General features: G+C 52.0%; 5 annotated features.

The window, feature by feature from the left end:
* Positions 2,956 to 3,457: an enhancer, noted in NCBI's record as "H3K4me1 hESC enhancer chr3:184390575-184391076 (GRCh37/hg19 assembly coordinates)". NCBI's record gives its function as "activates a minimal SCP1, AML or CMV promoter by ChIP-STARR-seq in naive H9 embryonic stem cells {active_cell/tissue: H9 hESC(naive)}" and the evidence as "EXISTENCE:reporter gene assay evidence [ECO:0000049][PMID:30033119]".
* Positions 8,317 to 8,821: an enhancer, noted in NCBI's record as "H3K4me1 hESC enhancer chr3:184395936-184396440 (GRCh37/hg19 assembly coordinates)". NCBI's record gives its function as "activates a minimal SCP1, AML or CMV promoter by ChIP-STARR-seq in naive H9 embryonic stem cells {active_cell/tissue: H9 hESC(naive)}" and the evidence as "EXISTENCE:reporter gene assay evidence [ECO:0000049][PMID:30033119]".
* Positions 8,822 to 9,327: an enhancer, noted in NCBI's record as "H3K4me1 hESC enhancer chr3:184396441-184396946 (GRCh37/hg19 assembly coordinates)". NCBI's record gives its function as "activates a minimal SCP1, AML or CMV promoter by ChIP-STARR-seq in naive H9 embryonic stem cells {active_cell/tissue: H9 hESC(naive)}" and the evidence as "EXISTENCE:reporter gene assay evidence [ECO:0000049][PMID:30033119]".
* Positions 20,125 to 20,625: an enhancer, noted in NCBI's record as "H3K4me1 hESC enhancer chr3:184407744-184408244 (GRCh37/hg19 assembly coordinates)". NCBI's record gives its function as "activates a minimal SCP1, AML or CMV promoter by ChIP-STARR-seq in primed H9 embryonic stem cells {active_cell/tissue: H9 hESC(primed)}" and the evidence as "EXISTENCE:reporter gene assay evidence [ECO:0000049][PMID:30033119]".
* Positions 20,626 to 21,126: an enhancer, noted in NCBI's record as "H3K4me1 hESC enhancer chr3:184408245-184408745 (GRCh37/hg19 assembly coordinates)". NCBI's record gives its function as "activates a minimal SCP1, AML or CMV promoter by ChIP-STARR-seq in primed H9 embryonic stem cells {active_cell/tissue: H9 hESC(primed)}" and the evidence as "EXISTENCE:reporter gene assay evidence [ECO:0000049][PMID:30033119]".

A 24,871-nucleotide genomic window follows, 5' to 3' on the forward strand; every position in this document is an offset into this window, starting at 1 on the left:
TTTGGGCTATCTATGACACGGGGTAACAGACTTTTGAGTCGGAGAAAGCAGTGTTCAAATTCCAGCTCCACAATTTATAAGCTAAGTGATCCTGGATAAGTCTCAAGTTTCCCTACCTGTAAAATGGATTCAATTATACCATCCCCCTAGGAGTTGATAAAGATGGAATGTGTTGATGTTTATAAAACACCCAGCACAATGCCTGTACAAACTAACCAATGTTCAGGGGATGTCATTTCACACACACACACACACACACACACACACACACACACACACACACACACACATTCTCTCTCTCTCTCACATGCACAAATACATGCGTGTGCACAACCACTTGGTTTGGGATGTCCACATCAGTGAGGTCTGACACCTGGCCCATATCATTGGGGCTGGTACAGGTGACGGGAAAGACTCTTATCTGCAGCAGAGAAATTCCTACTGTCCACTTGCTCGGAGGTCCCTCATCTCTCCTCTCTTCCTCTCCCAACCAGCAGGCTTAGAGACAGACCTCCTCTGCTGCCCACGGCACAGCCTCACAGAGCATGCCACACGCCGGACACGGCACCTCTCAGGCACTTATGCTGAAGTATGAGGTGGTATGCTGACTGGCACTGCAATGCAGTGAGGTACACCGTGGGGAGCTGAGCGGCCCTGGGATGAATTGGGGTACACTGTGGGGAGCTGAGCGACCCTGGGATGAAGTGGGGTACGGTGTAGGGAGCTGAGGTACTTCATGATGAAGTGGGGGTACAGTGTGGGGAGCTGAGCTACCCCATGATGAAGTGGGGGTATGGTGTGGGGAGCTGAGCTACCCCATGATGAAGTGGGGTATGGTGTGGGAAGCTGAGGTACCCTGGGATGAAGGAGGTACACTGTGGGGAGCTGAGGTACCCCATGATGAAGTGGGGGTATGGTGTGGGGAGCTGAGCTACCCCATGATGAAGTGGGGTATGGTGTGGGCAGCTGAGGTACCCTGGGATGAAGGGGGTACACAGTGGGGAGCTGAGGTACTCCGTGATGAAGTGGGGAATGGTGTGGGGAGCGGAGGTGCCCATGATGAATGGAGTATGGTGTGGGGAGCTGAGGTACCCCATAATGAAGTGGGGTATGGTGTGGGGAGCTGAGGTACCCTGGGATGAAGGGGGTACACTGTGGGGAGCTGAGCTACCCCATGATGAAGTGGGGTACAGTGTGGGGAGCTGAGATGCCCCATGATGAAATGGGGAACAGTGTGGGGAGCTGAGGTGCCCATGATGAATGGAGTATGGTGTGGGGAGCTGAGGTGCTCCATGATGAAGTGGGGTATGGTGTGGGGAGCTGAGGTACCCCATGATGAAGTGGGGCATGGTGTGGGGAGCTGAGGTGCCCCATGATGAAGTGGGGTACAGTGTGGGGAGCTGAGGCACCCATGATGGCGTATGGTGTGGGGAGCTGAGGTGCCCCATGATGAAGTGGGGTACAGTGTGGGGAGCTGAGGTACCCATGATGGAGTATGGTGTGGGGAGCTGAGGTGCCCCATGATGAAGTTGGGTACAGTGTGGGGAGATGAGGTACCCCATGATGAAGTGGGGCATGGTTGGGGAGCTGAGGAGGCCCATGATGAAGTAGGGTAAGGTGTGGGGAGCTGAGGTACCCATGATGGAGTATGGTGTGGGGAGCTGAGGTGCCCCATGATGAAGTGGGGTACAGTGTGGAGAGCTGAGGTACCCATGATGGCATATGGTGTGGGGAGCTGAGGCGCTCCATGATGAAGTGGGGTATGGTGTGGGGAGCTGAGGTGCCCCATGATGAAATGGTGTACGGTGTGGGGAGCTGAGGTACCCATGATGGTGTATGGTGTGGGGAGCTGAGGTGCCCCATGATGAAGTGGGGTATGGTGTGGGGAGCTGAGGTACCCATGATGGAGTATGGTGTGGGGAACTGAGGTGCCCCATGATGAAATGGGGTATGGTGTGGGAAGCTGAGCTACCCATGATGGAGTATGGTGTGGGGAGCTGAGGTGCTCCATGATGAAGTGGGGTACAGTGTGGGGAGCTGAGGTACCCATGATGGAGTATGGTATGGGGAGCTGAGGTGCCCCATGATGAAGTTGGGTACAGTGTGGGGAGATGAGGTACCCCATGATGAAGTGGGGCATGGTTGGGGAGCTGAGGAGGCCCATGATGAAGTAGGGTACGGTGTGGGAAGCTGAGCTACCCATGATGGAGTATGGTGTGGGGAGCTGAGGTGCTCCATGATGAAGTGGGGTACAGTGTGGGGAGCTGAGGTACCCCATGATGAAGTGGGGCACACCGTGGCAGGTGAGTACCCCAGGATGTAGTGGAGTACAGTGGTAAATGGAGGCTCACTGGTGAGGGCAGATGCTCTGTTGAGAAGCAGTGCTACCTTCTGCTTCATAACCCTGCCTTCTCTTCCTGCCTCTACTACTCCACTTTCAAATTAGACATCGCTGCTCAGGATTCCTTCCCTAGAAATCGACCTAAAATACCTCTCCTACAGACATGACCCTGAGGACAACCAGTGGCTTCTCACCTGGGGTCCTGGCTCCCAGCACTGTGTGCTGCTGGGTGAGAGTTCCCTTTGTGCAGAGCCCACTTACCACGTGTTGGATGGATGCGTCCATTAAGGATGGGATGGATGGAGTACAGGAGTCCATTTCGCACACATTTCCTGAGGTCTTCGAGGTGTCATGCACCTGCTGGCCTCTGGGGATCAGACGGGAATATAAACTGGTCCCTGTTCTCAAGGAGCTCACACAGGCCCCCGGCTTCACCTGGGCTAAGAGGTATGACCCACACACTTATTCAGTGTAGGGGACAGGCCACCAGCTCTGCCTTGGTAAGCCGGGGAAGGCTCGACAGAGTTGGTAATCTCCGAAGTGGGCTTTGGAGGAGGCATATGAGTGGAGGACCACGGAACAGGCATTTTAGGCTGGCTGTCAGTGGCTTCAGGAGGTTCTGACTTGGTGGGAGATACGTCCTATAGAGGTTCTCCAAAGACCCACAGTGCCATGCTGATTTTCTGAAATCCAGTGGGACTTAGGTAGGGTGACAAGGGCAGTGATGGAGCTACAGTTGTGTCCATTTAGAGGGAAGTAAGAGTGAGGATGGTCAGAGAACCTGGCTACACCCAGCTCTTGCAGTCATAATCGATTCCTTTCCAGTCAAAGAGGGTGGGAGAGTGGTTTTTCTCCCTCAGACAGAAGGATGAGGCTAGGAGGGAGGAGCTGGGTGGGCCGGGCGTGGACCAGCTTGGCCCTGGTGGACCTGCAGTTGGGCGGGAGGATGCTGGTTATTTGACTACAATGTATATTTAAAGGTCTCAGTTACAATGGGCCCCGGGCGCTCTGTAACAAGCTGCAGCTGTCCCATTGCTCATTAGCTTTCCTAACATCTTCTCGGGGCTGGTCCTGGGAGAGCAGCCCCCAAGCTCCTCCCTGTGGGCCGGGGCCCTGAAAAGCTGACTTCTTGCCCCCAGCCTCAGAGCTGCCATGATGAATGGCGCTGCTGCCCCGTGCAGACAAACGTCTTCCAGGAACAAGCCCCGTTTGTTTAAATCAAATGATCACCATCTTCTCTGGCAAAAGCCGCTCCCTGGACTCAAGGCCCAGGCCTGCCTCAACTGCCACCCACCTGTCCCTCTTCCTCTGGACATTAGGAAAGGACACATCAAGGGGTCAGGAGCAGCTCTAGCCACTGTCCTCAGAATGGGGACAGAGCAGGATCTCCAGGGCCAGCAGGGCCTGGTCGTCTTTGGAAGTGGGGTGAGAAAGGACTAAGCTTTCACAAGACATGGAGAAGCAGCCAGCAGCATGGGAAACAGGGCCTCAGCTGTGCTGCATCTGTGCTCTGAGCTTTGCACTTTCTACATGTGTCTCTACTCAAGTTACGCCTCTCCTGGCTTCAGACCCCTCAAGCATAGAAGAGTTTGTTAGGTCCACAGCTCTCAACCCCGGCTGCACACTGGGGTCACCAGAGGAACTTTTAGGAACTACTGATTCAGTTGGGTTCCAGGCACTGCCATTTCTTCCCCTCAGGCCCTCAAGCAATTCTAGCATGCAGCAATCGGTTTGAGTAGCCCCAAGGTCTCTGACCTCATGGCTTATCAGGTCTTCTTTGAAAAGTCCTGGCTGCTTAGGAAACACCTCCAGGAAGCCATCAGTTTGCAGACTGTGGGTCCCAAGAAGTTCCTGTACCAGGAGTTCTTCCTAAAGAAACCCACCTGGACTGGAGCAGGAAGGGACCCCAGAGCCCACCTTTTCCAACTTGGTTTTAGAGATGGCAAAACTGGGGAGTGCTCCTCCTCTCCTTGGGAGGACCCCCAGCTCAGACGGGAAGTGCTTTGTGAACGTAAAGCACCAACGCTGGGAAATTACTACAGATGGAGTTGTTGAGGATGGAGATTGGGGCACTGGAATTGTAACTCCTATCTGTCTCCCCAACTAGATTGTAAGCACCTTAATTGCAGAGACCAGGTCTCCTTTGTCGTGTGTGTGTGTGTGTGTGTGTGTGTGTGTGTGTGTGTGTCCTCCTGACTTAGCAATAAATGACTATGTGGATGGATGGATGGATGGATGGGTGGGTGGGTGGATGGATGGGTGGGTGGATGGATGGATGGATGGATGGGTGGATGGATGGATGGGTGGATGGATGGATGGGTGGATGGATGGATGGGTGGATGGATGGATGGGTGGATGGGGCCTTCCACAGGTGAATTTCCCTTCCTTACTTATCACTAGATTTTGCCATGGGTCACCTAGGCTGTCATCACCACGGTCACTGCTGTGAATAATGGAGTGTCAGGAGCTGAGGGAGGCAGTAGGGTATTGAGAGAACCTGTTAGCCTTGGGACTCAGGGGAGGGCCATTAATAAGGAGTAAGCATCTGAAGCTGGTCCTGACAGGCTTGCTGTGAATGGTGAGGCCAGATTACATGCCCATTGTACCCTGCTGTGAATCCACATCTCCCTAAGCCCCATCACACAGTGTAGCCGGGAATTTCTCACCCTCAAAGGTCTTTCAACCAAAAAAAAAAAAGGCCATTTCTGCCCAAGGAAGAATGTGGACCTGCAGGTTCCAGGTGGGAAGGAGAGGGGCTCAGGGTCTGGGTGAGGACAGAAGTTGGTGCTCTGACCTTAGTATGAATAACTCCAGCAAAGTCTTAATTCCTCAAAATACTGCCCAACATGCAACCGGCCACCTTTTATTGAACTTCCACGTGGGCAGACACTATGCTTGCTGAGGATACAGAGGTAAAAGAGAAAGACCCTGCCCTCAGAGGACTTATGGTCAAGGAGTAGAAGCTGTCGGGGAAAGGGCAGAGGGCTGGTGAGCCACGGAGGAGAAAGTGCTGGACAGGGCATGGACCCCAGGGGTGGCTTCATAGAGAGGCAAGATTTAAGCTCGGTGGGAGTTCTTCAGTGTGGCTCCCGGGAATCTGAATTTCTATCTCTCTCTTTTTTTTTTTTTTTTTTAGATAGAGTTTTGCTCTGTCGCCCAGGCTGGAGTGCAGTGGTGCAATCTCAGCTCACTGCAACTTCCGCCTCCTGGGTTCAAGCAATTCTTCTGCCTCAGTCTCCTGAGTAGCTGGGATTACAGGCGCGCGACAGCATGCCCAGCTAATTTTTGTATTTTCAGTAGAGGCGGGGTTTCTTTTATTTATTTATTTATTTTTTGAGACAGAGTCTCACTCTGTCACCCAGGCTGGAGTGCAGTGGTACAATCTCAGCTCACTGCAACCTCTGACCCCTGGGTTCAAGCGATTCTCCTGTCTCAGCCTCCCAAGTAGCTGGGATTACAGGCATGCACCATCATGCCCAGCTAATTTTTGTATTTTCAGTAGAGACGGGGTTTCCCCATGTTGGCCAGGCTGGTCTTGAACTCCTGACCTCAGGTAATCCACTCACCTCAGCCTCCCAAAATACTGGGATTACAGGCGTGAGCCACCGTGCCTGGCCAAATCTGAATTTCTTCTCAAATGCATGGGGGAATCTGTTGTGCCGACATGGTTAGGAATGATTTGTCTAGTGAGTGGTGGAGAAGGCATCCTAGGCAGAAGAAACTGTATGTGCAAAGAAAGGGAGGTGATCTAAGGGCACAGAGGTAACGGCAAACAGTCAAATATATGTGTAGAAACCAGGTTATTTGGGGGAAAGGGGATGCAACTAGAGTGGGAGGAAGAAAATCAAAATGCCATTTTGTTTGAATCGTTGAAAATAATTCCCCCAGGAAGCAGTAATCCATTTCAGCCTTCCTCATTCAGTGCTGATTTGCCCAAGTGGCAGGGAGATCTGGTGCCGATTACCAGGTTTCGGTGCATTAGGTAATGCAACAATAAAATCTGGGTCACTGCAGCACAAAGTCCCCTTTATTTTGACAAGTGTAGTTTTTACTCTGAAGTGTTATCATAAATAATTAAATTAAACCAGTAAATGGGTTGTAGTATGCTTTGCTGCAGTAACAAAGTCTCTGTAACCCCAGACACTGAGCCACTCCTTTGGGGGATTCTTGGCTCGGAAACATTTGGGAATTTTTCAGAAGTCAAGAATATTTGGAGTAGTCAAAGGAGAGAGGTAGGGCTGAAGGCTTGTTCCAGCCCATCCTGCTGCCCCGTTTCCCACTGGGCTTCCCCATCCTGCTGCACGCCATTCTATCATTTGACCTGTGGCAGCTTGAATCTGTAAAGGGATCACTCCTCAGCCCTAGGCTGGCCTCGAATGAAGAAGGGTAGAGAGTCCCAGTGCACATATTGGGCAGCCTCTTTTTTTTTTTTTTTTTTTGAGACAGAGTTTCGCTCTTGTTGCCCGGGCTGAAGTGCAGTGGTGCAATCTCAGCTCACTGCAACCTCCACCTCCCGGGTTCAAGCGATTCTCCTGCCTCAGCCTCCTGAGTAGCTGGGATTACAGGCATGTGCCACCATGCCCAGCTAATTTTGCATTTTTAGTAGACACGGGTTTTCTCCATGTTGGTCAGGCTGGTATTGGGCAGCCTCTTTTTTTTTTTTTCCATAATGCCCGCTCAGGCATCAGGGCATCAATAAGTAAATACTTCAAATCTTAGGGTAGAAGGTCTTGCAGGGACTCTCAAGACCACCAGACAACCCACCACCATCCATGACTTTTACCATTTCATAGACATGAAAACCAGGGAAGTAAAGTGACATGACCCATTGCTTGTTGGCCGATGGACAGGATAAGTAACATGCAGAACGTGAGTGCCAAAGACGCGGAGACCCAAAGGAGAATGTGCTGGAGACACAGGGGCTGCATGCAGGCAGAGAAAGGGGAAGTTGCAGGAGGAAGGAAAGAGGAAACGGTAAGAGGCAGGGGTGAGGTCTGCTAGAGGGCTGGGAGCTTTGAACCAAGTCTTCAGGCGGAGACCCTGAGGAGTCATCACCGGAGCCCTCAAGTACTCAGACATCTGCCCGCTGCATCAGGACAGTTCTCAAACCAAGCAAGAGAGAAATAAAATCTCTGTAGTGAAGAAGGAAAAATGGTGCTGGAGAGAATACCCAGAGGCGGAACCTGCTGGCTTTAAAGCAGGAGATTTCGGTCCCTCCCCAGGGTGAGTGGGGCTGCTTTTTGCCTCCTTCTCTACCATCTGCCCCCTCCGCTCTCCCATCGTCCTGCCTGCTGGACATCCAGGCATCAGCTTCTGTCACCCTTGTCAGGGCCTGCAGATAAGGTGGCAGTTGGTGGCCAGATTAGAGGGGGAGTAGCATTCCACTGCCCCCTCTTTTGGTGGCATCCAGGCCTGTAGGACTCCATGCAGGGACAACTCCATTCGTAGAGCCAGAACTCCCAGTGAGAGTTCTAGAATGGGGGCTCCTTCCGAGTCCCAGAGCCTCCAGCTGAGCCAGCTCCAGGGAGAGCGTGACAAACAGGTATCCTGGACAGAGAGGACTCTGGAGACCAGAAGAGCCTGTCAGAATGAGGGGCCGAACAGCACACACGGCCTTCCCTCCTGCCCCTCCACAGACCGGCTGTTTTTCATAGCACCTTTAGTGGAAAGGAAAGCATGTTTCTCTCACTCCATGGAACTCTGAGCTATGTAAACAATAGAGATAGAGCTGGAACAAAAATCACCTACAGGGCCGATAGCTGCACCAGAAATCCCTCCAGGGAGGAGGCCAAGGCTCCTTGGTGTTCAACAGCACAAAAGCTCAGATATTAGTGAAGTGTCGGTGCCCGGGGCTTTTGCCCCAGGGCTGTGGGGTCTTGTTTAGAGGTCAGTGAAGGGGAAGGCCCACACCTGGTGGGCTGCACGGCACCCCCTCCTTCTCCCTGACATCTATTGCATCATTCTCAAGGTGTGTGGACCAGGGACAGGGGAAGTGAGCTCAGCTGACCCAGAAACCCCGGCAAGGCCTGTGCCCAGTTTGCTGTTCCTCACCGGAGACCTTTGGGGTTCTAGGCCACTCTTACGTGGTGATGGCAGGGCAGGTGTGCACAGGTCTGCCTATGAGGTGGGGATCTGCAACTGTCCCCAGAAACCCACTGCTAAACTGGGTCCTTAGGGACTTCACCGCCCTGCTGGCCTCCTCCTCCCTCTGAGGCATCATTGACTCCAGGAAGCCCTCTGTGAACCCCAAGGCTGCACCCTGGGGTGCCAAGCTTCTCTGTGTGCCTGCACTGCACCCTGTCATACTCAGAGCTTATCATCTCAAGCGTATCTCCTTAAGACAGGGCTGTGTTTGACTTATCTCTGTGCACACTTCCATATACAGTAGGTGCTCAATAAACGCTTGTTGGACAGAACGGGGCATCTCTAGGCCAGGCCTGGCATCCCTGGTCAGGACGGCTTCAGTGGGAGGCCCAGTTCTCTGGCCTCAGCTGCCCTTGGCTCAGGGGGTCCAGTTCGGGAGAGACCAGGGTGGTCAGAGCGTGCACTGCCCTTTAATCCAGGCCTGGGTTCTTTCCCGCGTCACGGCCAGATCCCATCTCCTCTTCAACACATAGCGCTGTGGCTACCACATTGCCTCTCTGGCAGACACTGTGGGGATGTGTGTAGTCAGGTTGCAGGGAGGGGGACTTTAAACAAACAGTCCATGGCCCCAGTCAGTGCCAAGGCTCACCGCATCCCCAGCCCCACACCCCCTCTCCAGGGCGAGCCAGCTTGCTGGACCGTGTGACCGGGAGCCCGCAGAATTCATTTCACAAAAAATGTTTTGGTGCTCTGCTTCTCACCCCATCCCCAGCTGGGCCAGAGAGCACCTGAGTGCCCCTCCTGCTCTCCCTCCCTCTTGGGCCTTTCGCCCCCTAATCCACAAAGTGGGGAGCGGTCATGTGGGCCCTCAGCTCTCGACAGGAAGCTGTCAGGCACAGCTGGCTCGCCGGGCCAGCTCCCTTACCGCCAGGGAGGCGGGCTGCCGTCCCCGAGCCCGGCTCGCTGAAACCCAACCCCTCTTTCCAGCTGCAGCTCGAAAGAGCCCCTGGCCAGCCTTCCCCAGGGACCCTGCAGCCTGCAGATCTCACGGTCAGGGAATTTTCCCTGCGCAGTGTTCCAAGTCAGCCAAGCCTCCAGAACAAAGGGCAGAGAGACAGAGACCGGCCTCTTCCTATCCCCCCATAAGTGGCAAGAAAGACCCAGCCCACAGAGGCTGCTCCCCTGATGTGGGGGAAGGGTATACCCAGAGGACAAAGACCATCCTTCCTGGGAGGCCTGTGCCTCGGGAAGCACTCCCCGGAGGAGCCAGGACCAGATAGATTTGCAGCAGCCCCCATTTCTTCCACCCCAGGGAGGAAAGTGACCTGTACTGGCCCTGACATCCCAAGGGCCACGGGTGTCAGGAGGCCTGTGTCAGAGTCAGGTGCTGCACAGAAGGGGATTGTTGCTGATTAGTGCGGAGGCACACATTCCAGAACGCAGTGATTCCTTTCCCTGGGGAAAATGCAATTTACAAAAGAAAAATGGGCCGGGCGCAGTGGCTCACACCTGTAATCCCAGCACTCTGGAAGGCGGATCACAAGGTCAGGAGATCGAGACCATCCTGGCTAACACAGTGAAACCCCATCTCTACTAAAAAATACAAAAAATTAGCCGGGCGTGGTGGCGGGCCCCTGTAGTCCCAGCTACTCGGGAGGCTGAGGCAGGAGAATGACGTGAATCCGGGAGACAGAGCTTGCAGTGAGCCGAGATGATCGCGCCACTGCACTCCAGCCTGGGCGACAGAGCGAGACTCCGTCTCAAAAAAAAAAAAAAAAAAAAAAAAAAATGGGACTTTTTTGTTGTGGTCCCTAAGAACAGACTGTTCCTCAAACTCAGATAATAAACTGCTGTCAAGCAGCAGCCCTGGTAACATGTAATAGAGTGGAGAGAAACCCGCAACCAGCATTGGTTCAAGCTCTGATATCATCACTAACTAGCTATGTGGCTGGTCTAGCTCTAGGGACACCCCAAAGCCATTGTGGCCAGGACAGAATATATTATAACTAACTTCTCTGAGCCTCATTTTTTCTCATCTGTAAGATGGGACTAGTATTGTTTACCAGGCCTACTTCCTTCATTTAGCAAACATTAAGTACCAACTGTGTGCCAGGCACTAAGTCTGTTGCTGGAAGCTGAGAAATAACAGGATTCCCCACCCCAGGTCACATTAACTAATGGGTATAAAGGTGCTTGGAAAACTGAAATGCTGAAATAAATAGATAAGGACCAGCTGTAATGATCTCATTAACTTTCTGGGAATGAGGCTGCTAAAGTGATTTTTAAAGTTCTTAAAAACAGTTAAGTAAGCCAGACCTGTCTCTGTAATCTGGCCTGCACTATTTATTTGCTTAGCAAACCATTTCTTCATAGATAGTGCAAAAGGAAAGACTTCAGACCAGCCCGAGGCAGAATTTATCCCAAATTCAGAGTGAGTGGGGTCTGAATTAATTAGGTCTTTCTGTAGCTTAATGTATAAACCTGGGCTCAGGAAATTTGGCCTTTAAAGCAGGTGCCCTTTCAAATGAGTGGGTTTCATGTGACTGTTTTAACTTCAGCTTCATTACCCTTTATGGGCTGCAGGAGTGGTGGGGGGAGCAGGCAGGAGGGATCTGGTGTGAGTCTGCTTCCGTGAATGGGGAGCCAAAGGAACCGTAAAACAGCCCCTGGGTCCTCAACAGCCTTCTCCCAACCAGGGCCTGCCAAGGTGACCTGCCTACCTCCCCATGGAGGTAAATTCATACTTACAGTCCCCGTCTGGGGTCTCCTCCAGTCTCAGGTGAGGGCAAGGGCCAAGGCTCCCAGTCCTACTTGTGGGGCTGGTCATCTGCTGGGGTTTCCTCCTTCGATCTCTCATTGTCCTTGAACTTCTTGTTCTAGCTCCTTGGCAGCCTCCAAACTCCACAGCGTGAGAGCGCTGTGCCAGGATACTCTCTCACTCAAGAACCCGCGGTTATTCCCTACTGCCTGAAAGTCCTCAGCCCCCACCACCTGCTCTTATTATCTGCTCAAGATGCTCCAGGTCACCCGTCCCTTTAGACAGTCCAATATGGCAGCCACCAACCACCCATGACTATGGAGCACTTGTGGCCAATCCCAATTGAGATGTGCTGTAAGATATACACCCAGATAATGAAGATTCAGCATGAAAAAAGTAATGTAGGCTGGGCGCGGTGGCTCACACCTGTAATCACAGCACTTTGGGAGGCCAAGGTGGGTGGATCACCTGAGGTCAGGAGTTTGAGGCCAGCCTGGCCAACATGGTGAAACCCCATCTCTACTAAAAATACAAAAATTAGCTGGGCATGATGGCAGGCGCCTGTGATCCCAGCTACTCGGGAGACTGAGGCAGGAGAATCACTTGAACACCTGGGAGGCAGAGGTTGCAGTGAGCCAAGATCATGCCACTGCACTCCAGCCTGAGTAAGACTCTATCTCAAAAAAAAAAAAAAAAAAAGAAATGTAAACTATCTCATTAGTAATGCTTATAATTTTTATATTGATTACATGTTAAAATAATATGGATATATTTGATTAAATAGAATATATTATTAAAATGAATTTCCCCTGTTTCTTTTTACATTTTAAATGTGGCTACTAGAATGTGTGAAATTACCCATGTGGCTCCCATGTTGGCTTGCAGTAATGTCTACCAGCCAGCCTGCTCTGGAGCACCATGCAGTGAAAGTACCTGGGCTGGGTTGTGGGCAGATTTCCCTTTCGGTGCTATTTGGTATGTAACCTTTCCAAACCTCTATTTCCTTTTGTTCCAAATGGGATTAAAAGTACCTGCTTCAGATGATTACTAGGAGAAAGAGATAAGCCAACAGCTGTGAAATCTACTAGCAGAGAGCAGTTAACTCAATACGTGTTGGTTTCCTTCCTTGTCCTTTCCAAATCACATTTCAAAACACTTTTTAGAGCACTGGTTCTCCTTGGATGCACCCAGAAATCACCTGGGAAGTTTTCTATTAAAAAACAACAAAAAAACACAACAAACAAACAACAACAACAACAACAAAATATATATATATATGCCCAGGCCTGGACTCCATTCTTTTTCTGTTTGTTTGTTTGTTTTTTGAGAGGGAGTCTGTCTCTGTTGCCCAGGCTGGAGTGTAGTGGTGCGATCTCAGCTCACTGCAACCTCCACCTCCAGGGTTCAAGCAATTCTCCTGTCTCAGCCTCCCAAATAGCTGGGACTACAGGTGCACACCACCATGCCCAGCTAATTTTTGTATTTTTAGAAAGATGGGGTTTCACCATATTGGTCAGGCTGGTCTTGAACTCCTGACTTAAGGTGATCCACTCGTCTCGGCCTCCCAAAGTGCTGGGATTACAGGCGTGAGTGGACTCTTTTTTTTTTTTTTTTGAGACAAAGTTTTGCTCATGTTGCGCAGGCTGTAGTGCAATGGCGTGATCTTGGCTCACTGCAACCTCCACCTCCTGGGTTCAAGCAATTCTCCTGCCTCAGTCTTCTGAGTAGTCAGGATTACAGGCATGCACCACTATGCCTGGCTAATTGTGTATTTTTAGTAGAGACATGGTTTCTCCATGTTGGTCAGGCTTGTCTCGAACTCCCGACCTCAGGTGATGCGCCCGCCTTGGCCTCCCGAAGGGATTACAGGCGTGAGCCACTGCGCCCAGCCGGACTCCATTCTTAATCGGAGTCAGGGTGAGTTTAATTGGTCAGGTTGGGACCTGGGCATCAGCATAGTTTAAAGGGCTCCAGGTAATCTAATGCATAGCAAGGGTTGAGAATTCCTGCGCCAGAAGAACCAGTTGCTCCTTCACCCCTCAATGCTCTGACCCTGTGCTTTATATGCTGTCCCTTTAGCATTTTACATGTGTTTTGTGCTACTTTAATGATAACCAACTTTCCTGAATGCCTACCTGGACACCTTTCCTGAACATCTGGCACTTTACGTATAGTATCTTTAATCCTTATCACAACTCGGCGAGGTAAATTAGATTAACCCCATTCTGCAGATGAAGAAGCTGAGGCTTAGAAAGGTTAAAGTAACTTACTTGTTAAATCAGTGGAGGGGAGCCAGGAGGAAGCACTCAACCCCCCGGCAAGCCTGACTCCAGCCATTGCTCCCTAGACTATGCTGCCTTTGCTTTCAGTGATTCAGTCACAAGAATCTACACGTCCAGGGGTAGGGTGCTTTCTTCCTGTTTGCAACAGTTCTCAAATGAGGCATTCAGCAGCCCCTTGATAAATACTGACTAAACCTCAGAGTACCTGAGTTGTTTTTTGTTTGTTTGTTTGTTTGTTTTGAGATGGAGTTTCGCTCTGTTGCCCAGGTTGGGCGTACAGCATACAGGCTGGAGTGCAGTAGCATGATCTCGGCTCACTGCAACCTCCACCTCCTGGCTTCAAGCTATTCTCCTGCCTCAGCCTCCCGAGTAGCTGAGATTACAGGTGGGCACCATCACACCCAACTAATTTTTGTTTTGTTTTTTTTTTTTTGAGACAGAGTTTCGCTCTTGTTGCCTAGGCTGGAGTGCAATGGCACGATCTCAGCTCACCACAACCTCCGCCTCCTGGGTTTGAGCCATTCTCCTGCTTCAGCCTCCTGAGTAGCTGGGATTACAGGCATGCACCACCATGCCCAGCTAATTTTGTATTTTTAGGAGAGACGGGGGTTTCTCCATGTTGCTCAGGCTGGTCTCGAACTCCTGACCTCAGGTGATCCACCCGCCCTGGCCTCCCAAAGTGCTGGGATTACAGGTGTGCCGCCACCTCCATCCCAGAGTACCTGTTTGAGAGTATCCAAAAGCAGGCTGAGAGGCTGGAGAGCTAGCCTCGGGGCCCATAAGGATTCGGGTCTGTGCTGCGCTCTGCTGTGCGCCGAGCAGTTTCAGAGCCAGGGGAGTTTCAGGGCTGCCCTCCGCAGGCAGGCCTCTAACAAGGACAGGACAGCTCTGAAAAGGACAGTGGGCGAATGAGAGAGGCTCCTTGGATTCTAATGTATCATTCTCCCACACTCAGTCTCTCTTAGCAACTCTCTGACCCAGGAACACTATTGAGAGCACAGGTCCTTCATGGTCAAGAAGGCAAGAGACCTGACTCTGGTGGCTCCTGGGTGGGTGGCAGGTGCCCTAACCCTACCCTACTAGTGCCTCCACCACCTGCAGGTCCCCTCCCCAATCTGCCACCACCAAGGGCTGCCTGGATTTTTTGGACCAGCTCTGAGTCCATGTAATTGCTTTGTTTTCAAAATAGGTGGTGTGTTAAAGGCTTGACTAAACGGGATTCAGTTTTTCTACTTTTGTAAGACTTCAAATACAAATGTTCTTAAGTCAGAGGTGCCTCCACCCACATGATGGACTCACCTGCAGCCATTCAGAAGGAGGACGGGCAAACCGCACAGTGGCACGGAAAGACAAGGATGATGGCCGCGAAGTGGGGGCAGCATCCGATCCACATTCTAAAAGTAGCATAATCACCATTACTAAACACTAAAAAAAGGAAAATAAAGAGGTAGGAGAGCGGGGGAGGAATACATGAGAATGTTCCCAGCAGTTGTGATATGATGGTGAAATCACACGTAATTCTATTTCTTTTATTTGCCAAATTTTCTGTAATGTGTCTATAGGACTTAAATAAAGGGAAAGAAAAATTCCTTTGGGGGTAATCCATCCCAACAAAAACCATCGAATCTGACCCGCACTCCTTCATCTTCTGTCTCCTCCACACCTTCCTAGAAGAGGACAGGAACAGAGGTGGGAGGCTCTGTGAGCCCGCTGGAAAGGCCACCAGGCCCTGCTCTGGGGTGGTGACTCGGTCAGATTTTCCCACACCCAGTCTGGCAGTGGAAGACAGAAGGGCTGTATCCTCACTCCAACTGTGCTCCAGGAACAGGGTCCTTTCGGTCCCATGGACAGGTCCCTGTCATTCTGCAGGGAGCAGGAGGGGAAGTGGGAGACCACTGCAGCAGGTGTACTTTCCCCTAATGGGGCTCCTAGTGCCTCCCCTGGGTTCAGAGCCCAGCTCTGGAGCAAGCCAACCTTGACCCTTTTCCCAGCCGGGTGCAAAGGCAGCCCTATGGTCTTTGGTGCCTGCAGGGCTGATAGGTGTCCAGAACTGTGGTCACTGAGAGTCAACAACTTTCCCTTTTCTCTGAGGCTCTCTCCTCTTCCCGGCGTGGTGGGAGGCCCCACCCAGAAGATAGCCTTGCCCACCCTGGCATTTTAGGTTGGTCCCCAGATAAAGCAGGCAGTGGGTGGAGTGGTCATGAGCTTTGGACCCAATCAGACCCTGGTTCAAATCTCATCCAGTTTTGCCACTTACTAAATGAACAACCTCAGGAAAATTAAATGCAGTCAGAGCCTCATCTGGAAAATGACATAATGACTCCTGTCTCACAGGGCTGTGATTTGGGTCAAGGGAGAGAAAATGGACATAAAGCACCTTGAACAGCCTCGACACACAATAGCTGTTATTGGTGCCTCTGTCTTCCTGGCCCCTCCTAAGCCAGGCTCTTGGGGCTGGGGGAGGACCCTGGACTTGACTTTAGGGATTGGCCTCTTTTAATGCTCTGCTCTCACGGCTGAGTGTGGGGGGCTGGGGCTGGGAAAGCCATGTGACTTCAGGCTGGCTATTTAGCCATTTCTTTGTGTCTCTTTGGCTCTGAAGGGGTGAGGTAATCCCTCAGAAGTGCATTCTTCCTGGGGAGAGAATGTCGCTGTTTCTTAGGGGGTTATAATCACTGTCCTTGCTGGAGGTTGAATGAGGACAGTGAGGGGGCTGACCTTGCCCCCTCCCCACCTTCCAGCCCCGGCCACGCCCCACCATAGGATCTCAGAGTTAGGGGACAGACTCCAGTCTCCAGTCTAGAAGGCTCTGGGAGTGTTTCCCTGAACAACATACACAAGCGTTGGAGGTATTTCTGAGGGACAGTGGCTGCTTTTATAAACTCACAGCAATATAATAATCATAAGTATTATGTGGCCCCTCAGTTTGGAAAGTACTTTCTCGTACCTCATCTACTCCTCTCTACAACAACCTTGTGGGTGACGTTATTATCTCCATTTCACAAATGAGGCCACAGAGGTTCTAAAGGGTAAATGACGATGATGATGAGAGGTAAGTGATAAAACAATGTCTCCTGACCACAAATCCTGGAATTTAAACATAAGTGTAGTAAACATGAACTCTAGGAAGCCTCCTGGGGCTTCTCCCTGTGTCTGGAGCCCCTGCACATGCCCAAAGGAAGTCCTTTTGGTTCTCCGTTCAGTAGAGAAAGGGAGCAATTCACTAAAAGGGAGGTGGGGAAACAAGACTGGTGGTAGGGGAGGCTGGGCTCAGTGGCTCACGCCTGTAATCCCAGCACTTTGGGAGGCTGAGGCAGGCAGATCACCTGAGGTCAGGAGTTAGAGACCAGCCTGCCCAACATGGTGAAACCCTGTCTCTATTGAAAATACAAAACCAGCCAGGCATGGTGGGACTACCTGTAATCCCAGCTACTTGGGAGGCTGAGGCAGGAGAATCACTTGAACCCGGGAGGTGGAGGCTGCAGTGAGCTGAGATCGCACCACTGCACTCCAGCCTGGGCAACAGAGTGAGACTCCATCTCAAAAAAAAAAAAAAAAAAAAAAAAAAAGAGGCCGGGTGCAGTGGCTCACCCCTGTAATCTCAGCACTTTGGGAGGCTGAGGCAGGCAGATCACCTGAGGTCGGGAGTTCGAGACCAGCCTGCCCAAGATGGCGAAAACCCATCTCTACGAAAAATACAAAAAAAATTAGCCTGGCCTGGTGGTGGGCACCTGTAATCCCAGCTACTCAGGAGGCTGAGGAAGGAGAATTGCTTGAACCCAGGAAGCGGAGGCTGCAGTGAGCTGAGATCGCGCCACTGCACTCGTAGTGGGTAATCTTCCCCGGGTATTGGGTAAGAGATTAACAGGCTGAGAAGGCAGATGCCTCAATGTCAAAGGTGGTGTTTTGAGAGTACGGAGGATTAGCTGGTGCCACATCTGGGGCCTCTTAGGTGGCTGCCCAGCAGAATATGACCTAGTCCTTCCCACAACCCAGCCTCAACCCTCGGGAAAGAGAACCAAGGTTCCTGCTGTTGTGTCCCTTCTGATGCATCCCGGCCATGGGAGAAGAGAAACCTCTGAAAAGGCTTTCCAGGGTGCAAGACCCCCGCAGTGTTCAGAGGGGCAGGAAAGGAACTCCCTCTCCTGACTTGAGTCTGGGTCAAATGTCCATGTGGCCTACTTCCTAGAACGGGAGGGATGGATGGGGCGGGTTTGCGGAGACCAGGAGAAGGTTGCTGGCAGCCAGCCCAGGCTCCATTTCCCTGCCCTGGGAGGGTGTGGTGGCCCAGGACCCCACAGCCTGTGGGGCCCAAACCCAGTGACAAAGACATGCTTTGAGTCCCTCTGACTTCCAGATTGCTATGGGGAATGGGGAGGAGGGGAGGGAGGAAGGAAAGGGCATCCATCCCAGACTGAGTATCCTGAAGCCGGCCATGACTTCGGTTTTGCCACTGCCTGTCCCCCTGCCTTTGTGGCCGGTTGTGTGGTGGTGCTATTTTCAGCATGAGCAGTAGTAGCGCGCAAGTGTCGTTCTGCGCAGTCAGCCAACTTCCTGATGTGAAACCCTAGCCGGAGGTCTCCCGGGCCCCTCCCCGGGCGCGCGGGCAGGCAGGCCCTCAGACTAGTTCCTGGAAACTTTATAGCCCCTCTCTCTGCACTACTCAGTTCCTCTCTCAGGGATTGCTCAAATAGTAAAATAAAACATTATAGTAACAGTGAGCATTTATTGATCGCCTACTATAGGCCAGGCACTGGGCGAGGCGTTTCATTGATATTATCTCATTAGTTACCACCTTGCCTTGCTTGTTCTGTATCCTGCTTGAGAAAGAGGTATAGTGTGTGGAGAGCAGGCATGTCATTTCTAGCTCATTAAATTTGTTGCTGATGGATTGGTCTTCAAAAAGCCATCATTTTTATGGAAAAAGTAGATTTCACTTACATCGTTCTGCTTTGCAGGAAAACCTCCAGAAAGTTCAGTTTGAGCCAGGCCCATAGCCGCCTGTGTCCACATCAGGCATGACCTCAACAGTCATGTCACCCATAATTCACAAGCATCTTTCTGGTCCCAGCTGTTCTTCTCATCAAGGAGGCTGTATTTTAGATGTCTGTTTCTCCAGTCTTTCTCTCTCTTGCTCAACAACTGAGGCCTTTCTTGCCAGAATTGGAGGAGCTGAGGTTCTGGGTCCAGCTATGGACTGGTGGGACATGGGGTCGGGGGAGGGCTTAGCAAACCTTCTCTCCCAGCCACTGGGGCCCTGGGCCACTGCCCCTGCAGGAGCTGCCAGGAGAGTGGAAGGATCTTGGAGGAGGGCTGTTGGTGTAGGTGGGAATGGAGAACATTCCTCCAGCTGGTGGCAGGAGCTGGCTAGCCAGAGGCCTTTTTCACGGCCCAATGCAGTGCAGCTCTTGTGTGTATGAGCTTTGTGAGATTTAGATCACTCTGTATTAGCCACAGGGTATTGGAGGTCACATCAAAGGTTAGAAAGCTGTGGAAAGAGTTCTTTCCCCGTGACTCACACTCCCCAAAAACGTAAATCTCTGAGAGGAGCCAGCTTGCTTTATAGAGCTGGCAGGAGAAAGGGGACAGCAAGAACTACTGGAGAGTTTTTCTAAAGAAACCTCTGGAAGGTCGGACAAAGGAATTTTTATTGAGGAGAGGAGCCAGAGGGGAAAGATGCTCTGGGACCAGATAGATGGATGGGGTTGGGCATTGGGGTGGGGGCAGCAACAGCGCTTCAGTTGCTCCTGGCCTGGAAGGACTAGACCGCCGCATCACACAACTCCAAGAGGTATCCTGGCTTGTGCAGTGCACGACCTGTGCAGCCACACGTGGCAGCCTTGTCTTTCCTTGGTCCCTCCTGGATGGATTTGGTGGAGCCTCCTTCATGGGTTCCTATAGAATCCTCCAGAGGGTCATAGCTTAAAATTATCCACGTGCTTGTCTGCACCCATTTCTGGCCACTTCATAGTTACATCTTTGAGGACAGAGGCCATGTCTTCTAAGATTTTGCTTTCTAGCCTGGCGCATAGTATATGCTTAAGAAACATTTGTGGAATGAATAAATAAACATTGTTAAGAGAATTCTAACATTTAGAAACGGGTACGGCTAAGACCAAGCATTGGGAACGAGAAAGAGCTTTGATTTCTTTAAAGAAAAAGTATGATCCAAAAACATCAACTCCTTAAAGATCCAACCACTACCTTTAGGAAGCTCCCCAATAAAATTCTGTTCATTTAGTCCCTCCATTTCTCAAGCATTTACCAGCCCCTCTGTCAGGCACCAGCTGGGGTTCCTTTAAGATGCCCACAGCCCTGATGGGGCAACAGACATGCGCTTCTGCTACCTGCTGCCAGAATGAAGCGGTCACAACTGCCTGGAAGGCCTGTGGGAGACATGCGGGGCACTACAGGGCGCTGGAAAGGGAGCCGCTCACTCACTTTGCCAGAGAAACAGGCTTCGTGGAGGAGGTAACAGGCAGGGGCTTGGAGGGAAAGCACCTTCGGCTTTGCTCCTGTCTAGGTTTTGGCTTTTTAAAAAAATTTATCTTTGTTTATTTATTTTGAGACGGAGTCTCACTCTGTCACCCAGGCTGAAGTGCGATGGCGCAATCTCGGCTCACTGCAACCTCTGCCTCCCAAGTTCAAGCGATTCTCCCGCCTCAGCCTCCCGAGTAGCTGGGATCAGAGGTGCACGCCACAATGCCTGGCTAATTTTTTGTATTTTTAGTAGAGACGGGGTTTCACCATGTTGGCCAGGCTGGTCTCAAACTACTGACCTCAGGTGATCCACCTGCCTTGGCCTCCCAAAGTGCTGGGATTACAGGTGTGAGCCACTGCACCTGGCCCAGGTTTTGGCTCTCTTGAGCACAGAGAGGGTAAGTGTGTACTCTAAGGTCACAGAGCTCATAAGTACATCTTAAAACCCCGTTCCTCAGCTCCACATCCTGTGACATACCACTGACTTGCTTTCTGTGCTCGAGCCCAGGCCTGGAGAAGCCCCCTCCTCCTCCCGGAGCAGTGAAGGAAGGTGATGTGAGAGGAGGGCCCCGCAGCAGCTGTGGATTTTATTCCTGGGCCAACCCGGGGACTTGCCTAGGCCTCTCTTCATGTTGGCCCCATCGACGGTGCAGCTCCTCCCGCCTCTCTTAACACTCTGGTGCTGCGCTGCCTCGCTTCGCAGATCATGTGCTCCCTGCTTGGTTCCTCAGCCCTGACCTGTATCACAATTCCTCACAGCGCCTTGACACCCTCTGTCACCTGGGTGCTGCCCTTTTCCTGGCTACCCCGGCTGGTGTGCCAGCCTCCAGGCCTTCATAGGGGACTGGGGACTTCGGCTCCTCCAGGTCTGGGCACAGCTCACTCCACTGAGCCTCTCACCCAGGCCCGAGCCCAAACAGGGCTCCTGCCACCAGCTGCCAGCCTTCCCAGCCAGTCTCCTCTGCCCGGGCTCTAGGCATTGCCTCTTCCCTGGGCTCACCAGTGGTGACACTGCCCATTCCTGCCCACTGGACTGCAATATCAGAATACTTTCCCCTCCAGCAATGTGGCTCAGGAGAGAGGACATGGGCTCCAGAGTCAACTCTGTCATCTGCCAGCTCTCAGAGTTCCTTAACGTCCCTGAGCCTTACGGTTCTCATCTGTGAAATGGGAGTGACACCTCTTTCAGAGAAACACAGGCATCGCGGTGCGATACACGCCCGGCTCTGCACCTCATACCCAGCTTCTAAGGACAGCGGGAGCTGACAGCAGCTCCTGCTTCCAAATGCTTCTCACGATCATTATCAGTCTTGTTCTACCCTGAGGTGAGCAGAGAAAACTTCATTGTACCCATTTGACATCGAGGAGATTTGGGCTCAGAAAGAGTAAGTGACTTGCCTAAGGTCACCCTGCTCGTCAGGAGAGGGCTGGGTGGGAACCCCAGCATTGTGATTCTGCATTCTGTGGCCCCAGAATAAATTGTTCCCACTCTCTCCTCTACAGTCAGGGCTCCCCTGCCTTATTGTGAGACCCCTGCCGCCTGCCCTATGCTCAGAATGCCAGTGTGAAGGGGCATCATTCTGGCTCTTTCCATGGTCTCAAGCAGACCCTTTAGGTGGAGAAGGGTGAGAAGAACCCTCCAGATAGGTCATGGGGTGGCTGGGGCTCCAAAAGCCCCCTTTGAGACCACACTTCCTCTCTGTGGCCCACTGGGGACTGCCGAAGGCAGCACCCGGAGCCCCGGGAAGGAGGAAGCTTCGGGTTGCGAGTCACGCCTTATGCCCCCGAGTCAGCCCAGACTCTGCTCCACCAGTGCCCCAGCCCCTGGCCAGAGCAGCCCCGTGGCCTGTTGGCAGCTGCTGCCCAGCCCCCATCTGCGGGCTGCCAGGGCTGGCAGCCTCACGGCCACGCTGCACAACTCCGCGCCTCTCCTCCTCAGTTTATTCCTTCCAGACACACAGTTGCTGCTTTTTATTTGGATTGCTTTTCTGTGTTATGGTATTTGGGTTGTTTTTCCAATCCCTCCCCCAACCCCTGCCTTTCCCCCATGGCAGGATTCCTAAGAAGACTCGTTTTTGGAGAGCGCTGCAAGCACATCTGCTCTCTGACTGCAGCATTCCGGGAGGGCCCTGTCAGGGGGCTCAGGTCTCGGGAAGCCAGGACACGCTGGGCAGGGGGGGCCGGCGGGCAGGGTGCAGGGCCCCTGGCAGTCAGGGCCTGTGGTGGGCACACTCACTGAGGCAGGCAGTGCTGGGCCTGGGGGCCTGTGGCTGCTGCCAAAGTCCTGGAGCCGCAGCTCACCAACTCCCTGGCCCCATTGGCTGTGGCTGCTGGCTCTCAGCTCAGACACGAGTAGGCCAGACTTGGGGTGAAAGAGAAACCAGGAGCCTTTTACAACACCCTGGACTTCGGGCTCCCTTTGGTGAGCAGATCTGAGGGGTGGGGTCCTGTGTGTGGTAGGTGTTGGAGTCCGCATGGGTGTACCCTTATGTGTACTAGAAAAAGTGTGGTGGCTGTATGGAGGTTCAAAAGCCACGGGACTTGGGTTCCATTCCTGACTTTCCCACCAACTGGCTGTGTGAACGTGGGCAAGTTGCTGTGAAGCAGGGATAACAGCATGCCCCCCAACTCCACTGTGAGGGTAAACAAGTTAATACGTGAAAATACTTCCTGGCACATAGTAAGTGCTCAATAAATGTTTTAGCTGTTATTATTATATATGCATTGGGATGTGTGTGGAATTATTAGATTCGGGGTGGTGCTCTTGGACTTTGGAGTGTGAGCACTGCTCCCCAGCTTGCTAAAAGTGCTGGCTTCTGGGCCTCACCGCAGAGATTGTTTCAGCAGATCTTGGGAGAGCTCAGGAATTTACATTTTAATCCAGAGGCCTTGGCGATATTGACATGTTGGTCCAGAGTCTGATCTGGAGTCATCTGAGGTGTCTGAATGAGTAGAGCCTTGGGAAGGCTTGGGGTGTGTGTGTGTGTGTGTGTGTGTGTGTGTGTGTGTCTGTGTATTGGTGGCAGGGGCTGCAGGGGTGTGAGAAGGATTGGATTATTTCCTAGGCTCTGGTAAATCACTCAGAACTGCTTTGCAAATGGAGCTGGAGACCCAGTGAAGGAGTGGAGTGGAATGAGGCGGCTCCAGGCAGGAGTCACCCCAGGCAGAGCCTTGGGTCTCTAGGAAGGAACGAAGACTGCTGGGGTTTTCAGCAGGGGACTGACACAGTCCAACTGAATGGTTTGGGTTGGAGCTGCCTGGTTTACAGCCTAAGGCACAGCAGATGGCAAGGAGGGTATAAAATTGCAATTAGCTCAAGGCCACAATGGCAGAAGGGTCTATGGCCTGAGAGCAGGAGCGGCAGCAGGATCTGGAGGAAGAGAGGATCTCCCAGATTGAGCAGCTGTGCCCACCCCCTTCACTTCTGAGTTAATGAGGCCAGAGCATCCAAGCCAGGGCCCGGTCTCCGTGAGCCCATCGCTCCAGCAGCCCAGCCAGGATCGCTTAAGATAAGAATCTTGTAAACTCACCCACTCAAGTGCTTATAGTCTCTTGATTCATTTTCTTCTACTTTCTCTCTCAGCAAAGATGTTTTAGAGAAACTCTTCGTTTTCACTGAGCTAAAAAAAGAAGGAGGTGGACCCTCCTAAGGCTAGAGAGAGAGCTGGTCGCCTGTTCCAGGAAGGAGACTGGGGGACCAGCTGTGGCCTGATGGTGTGAGGCCTCCCTTCCAGGAGTAGGCCAGTGGGGGCAGCCGGGAAGGCCTGGTTCTCCCAGCAGGGGTCTCCTTTCAGATGCTAGATTGTATGTGTATGTAAGTGTATGTGAAGGGTGTGTGTGTGTGTGTGTGTGTGTGCATTCACACAGCAACAAGATATTTACTGAGTGTGGATTATGTGCCAGACACTGTTCTAGATGCTAGGGATACACCTGTGAACAGAATGAAGATCCGTGCACTCGAGGAATGTGAGGTCGATGGGAATTTCGTGTCCGGAGGGGATGGGTAAGTGCTGTGTGTATGAGTCCACGGTGCACACACAGGCGAGGAATGGAGAATAACACATACGTGCCCAGGCAGACCTGGGTCAGGAAACATCTGCCATTCTCCAGGCATGTGATCTTGGGCAAAATATTTTCTGAGCCTTGGTTTTCCATAAAATGGGAAAATAATCTCTTTCTCTCACAACTGTTGTGAGACTAAATATGCAAATGCTTGGAAAGCTCTAAGCAAAATACCTGATACATGATAGTTGCCAAACGATGTTTTTTCTTCATGTTTCCTATGGAGTTGGTGGAGCTGTTTCTGCATGTATATACCAAGTATGTGTTTGTGTCTGGGTGGGGTGTCCCATGTGTCTGAGAGGTCTAAATGTGTGGGTTCTCCCCAGGTGATAATCTCCTCCCCCCAGGATGTGCCTTGTGCTGTAGAGATATCTCAGGTCTCACTAAAGGTGGCATTCATTGCCTGTTCCATTCTGAGCAAGGAGGCCCACTAATAGAGAGAAAAGGTCATTCAGTCTGGAATCCTAGGAGTTGGCCCGTTAAAGCCTTGGCTTAGGTCTGTCATGAGTCTCTCCAGCTGCAGCGTGACTCTCGCTTGCAGTTCTGTTTGTAGTGCACACAAAGAATCCTCAGCCACCCCTTGCTGACACCCACCTACACCAACTTGCAGCTTTTCTTTCCCAATTCTGTGACATCTTGGCCATGCTGCTCCCTGCTGAGACCCTCCCAGAATCCCCCAGGTCACTTGTAAAAGTGGATCTAGAAGGTAAACCCAGGACCAGCCCTCAACAGGCAACTGTGGGAGCAGAACTGCATTGTTTAGTGATCCGCTTAGGACTCCCACCATTCTTGCTTCCTCCTGCAGAGTGAGAAGAGAGGTGAGTCCCGTTCCCGCTCTCCCTGCTCTAGACTGTCTCCCAAGGA

This window comes from Homo sapiens, chromosome 3, assembly GCF_000001405.40.
Source record: "Homo sapiens chromosome 3, GRCh38.p14 Primary Assembly".
Lineage (NCBI taxonomy): Eukaryota > Metazoa > Chordata > Mammalia > Primates > Hominidae > Homo > Homo sapiens.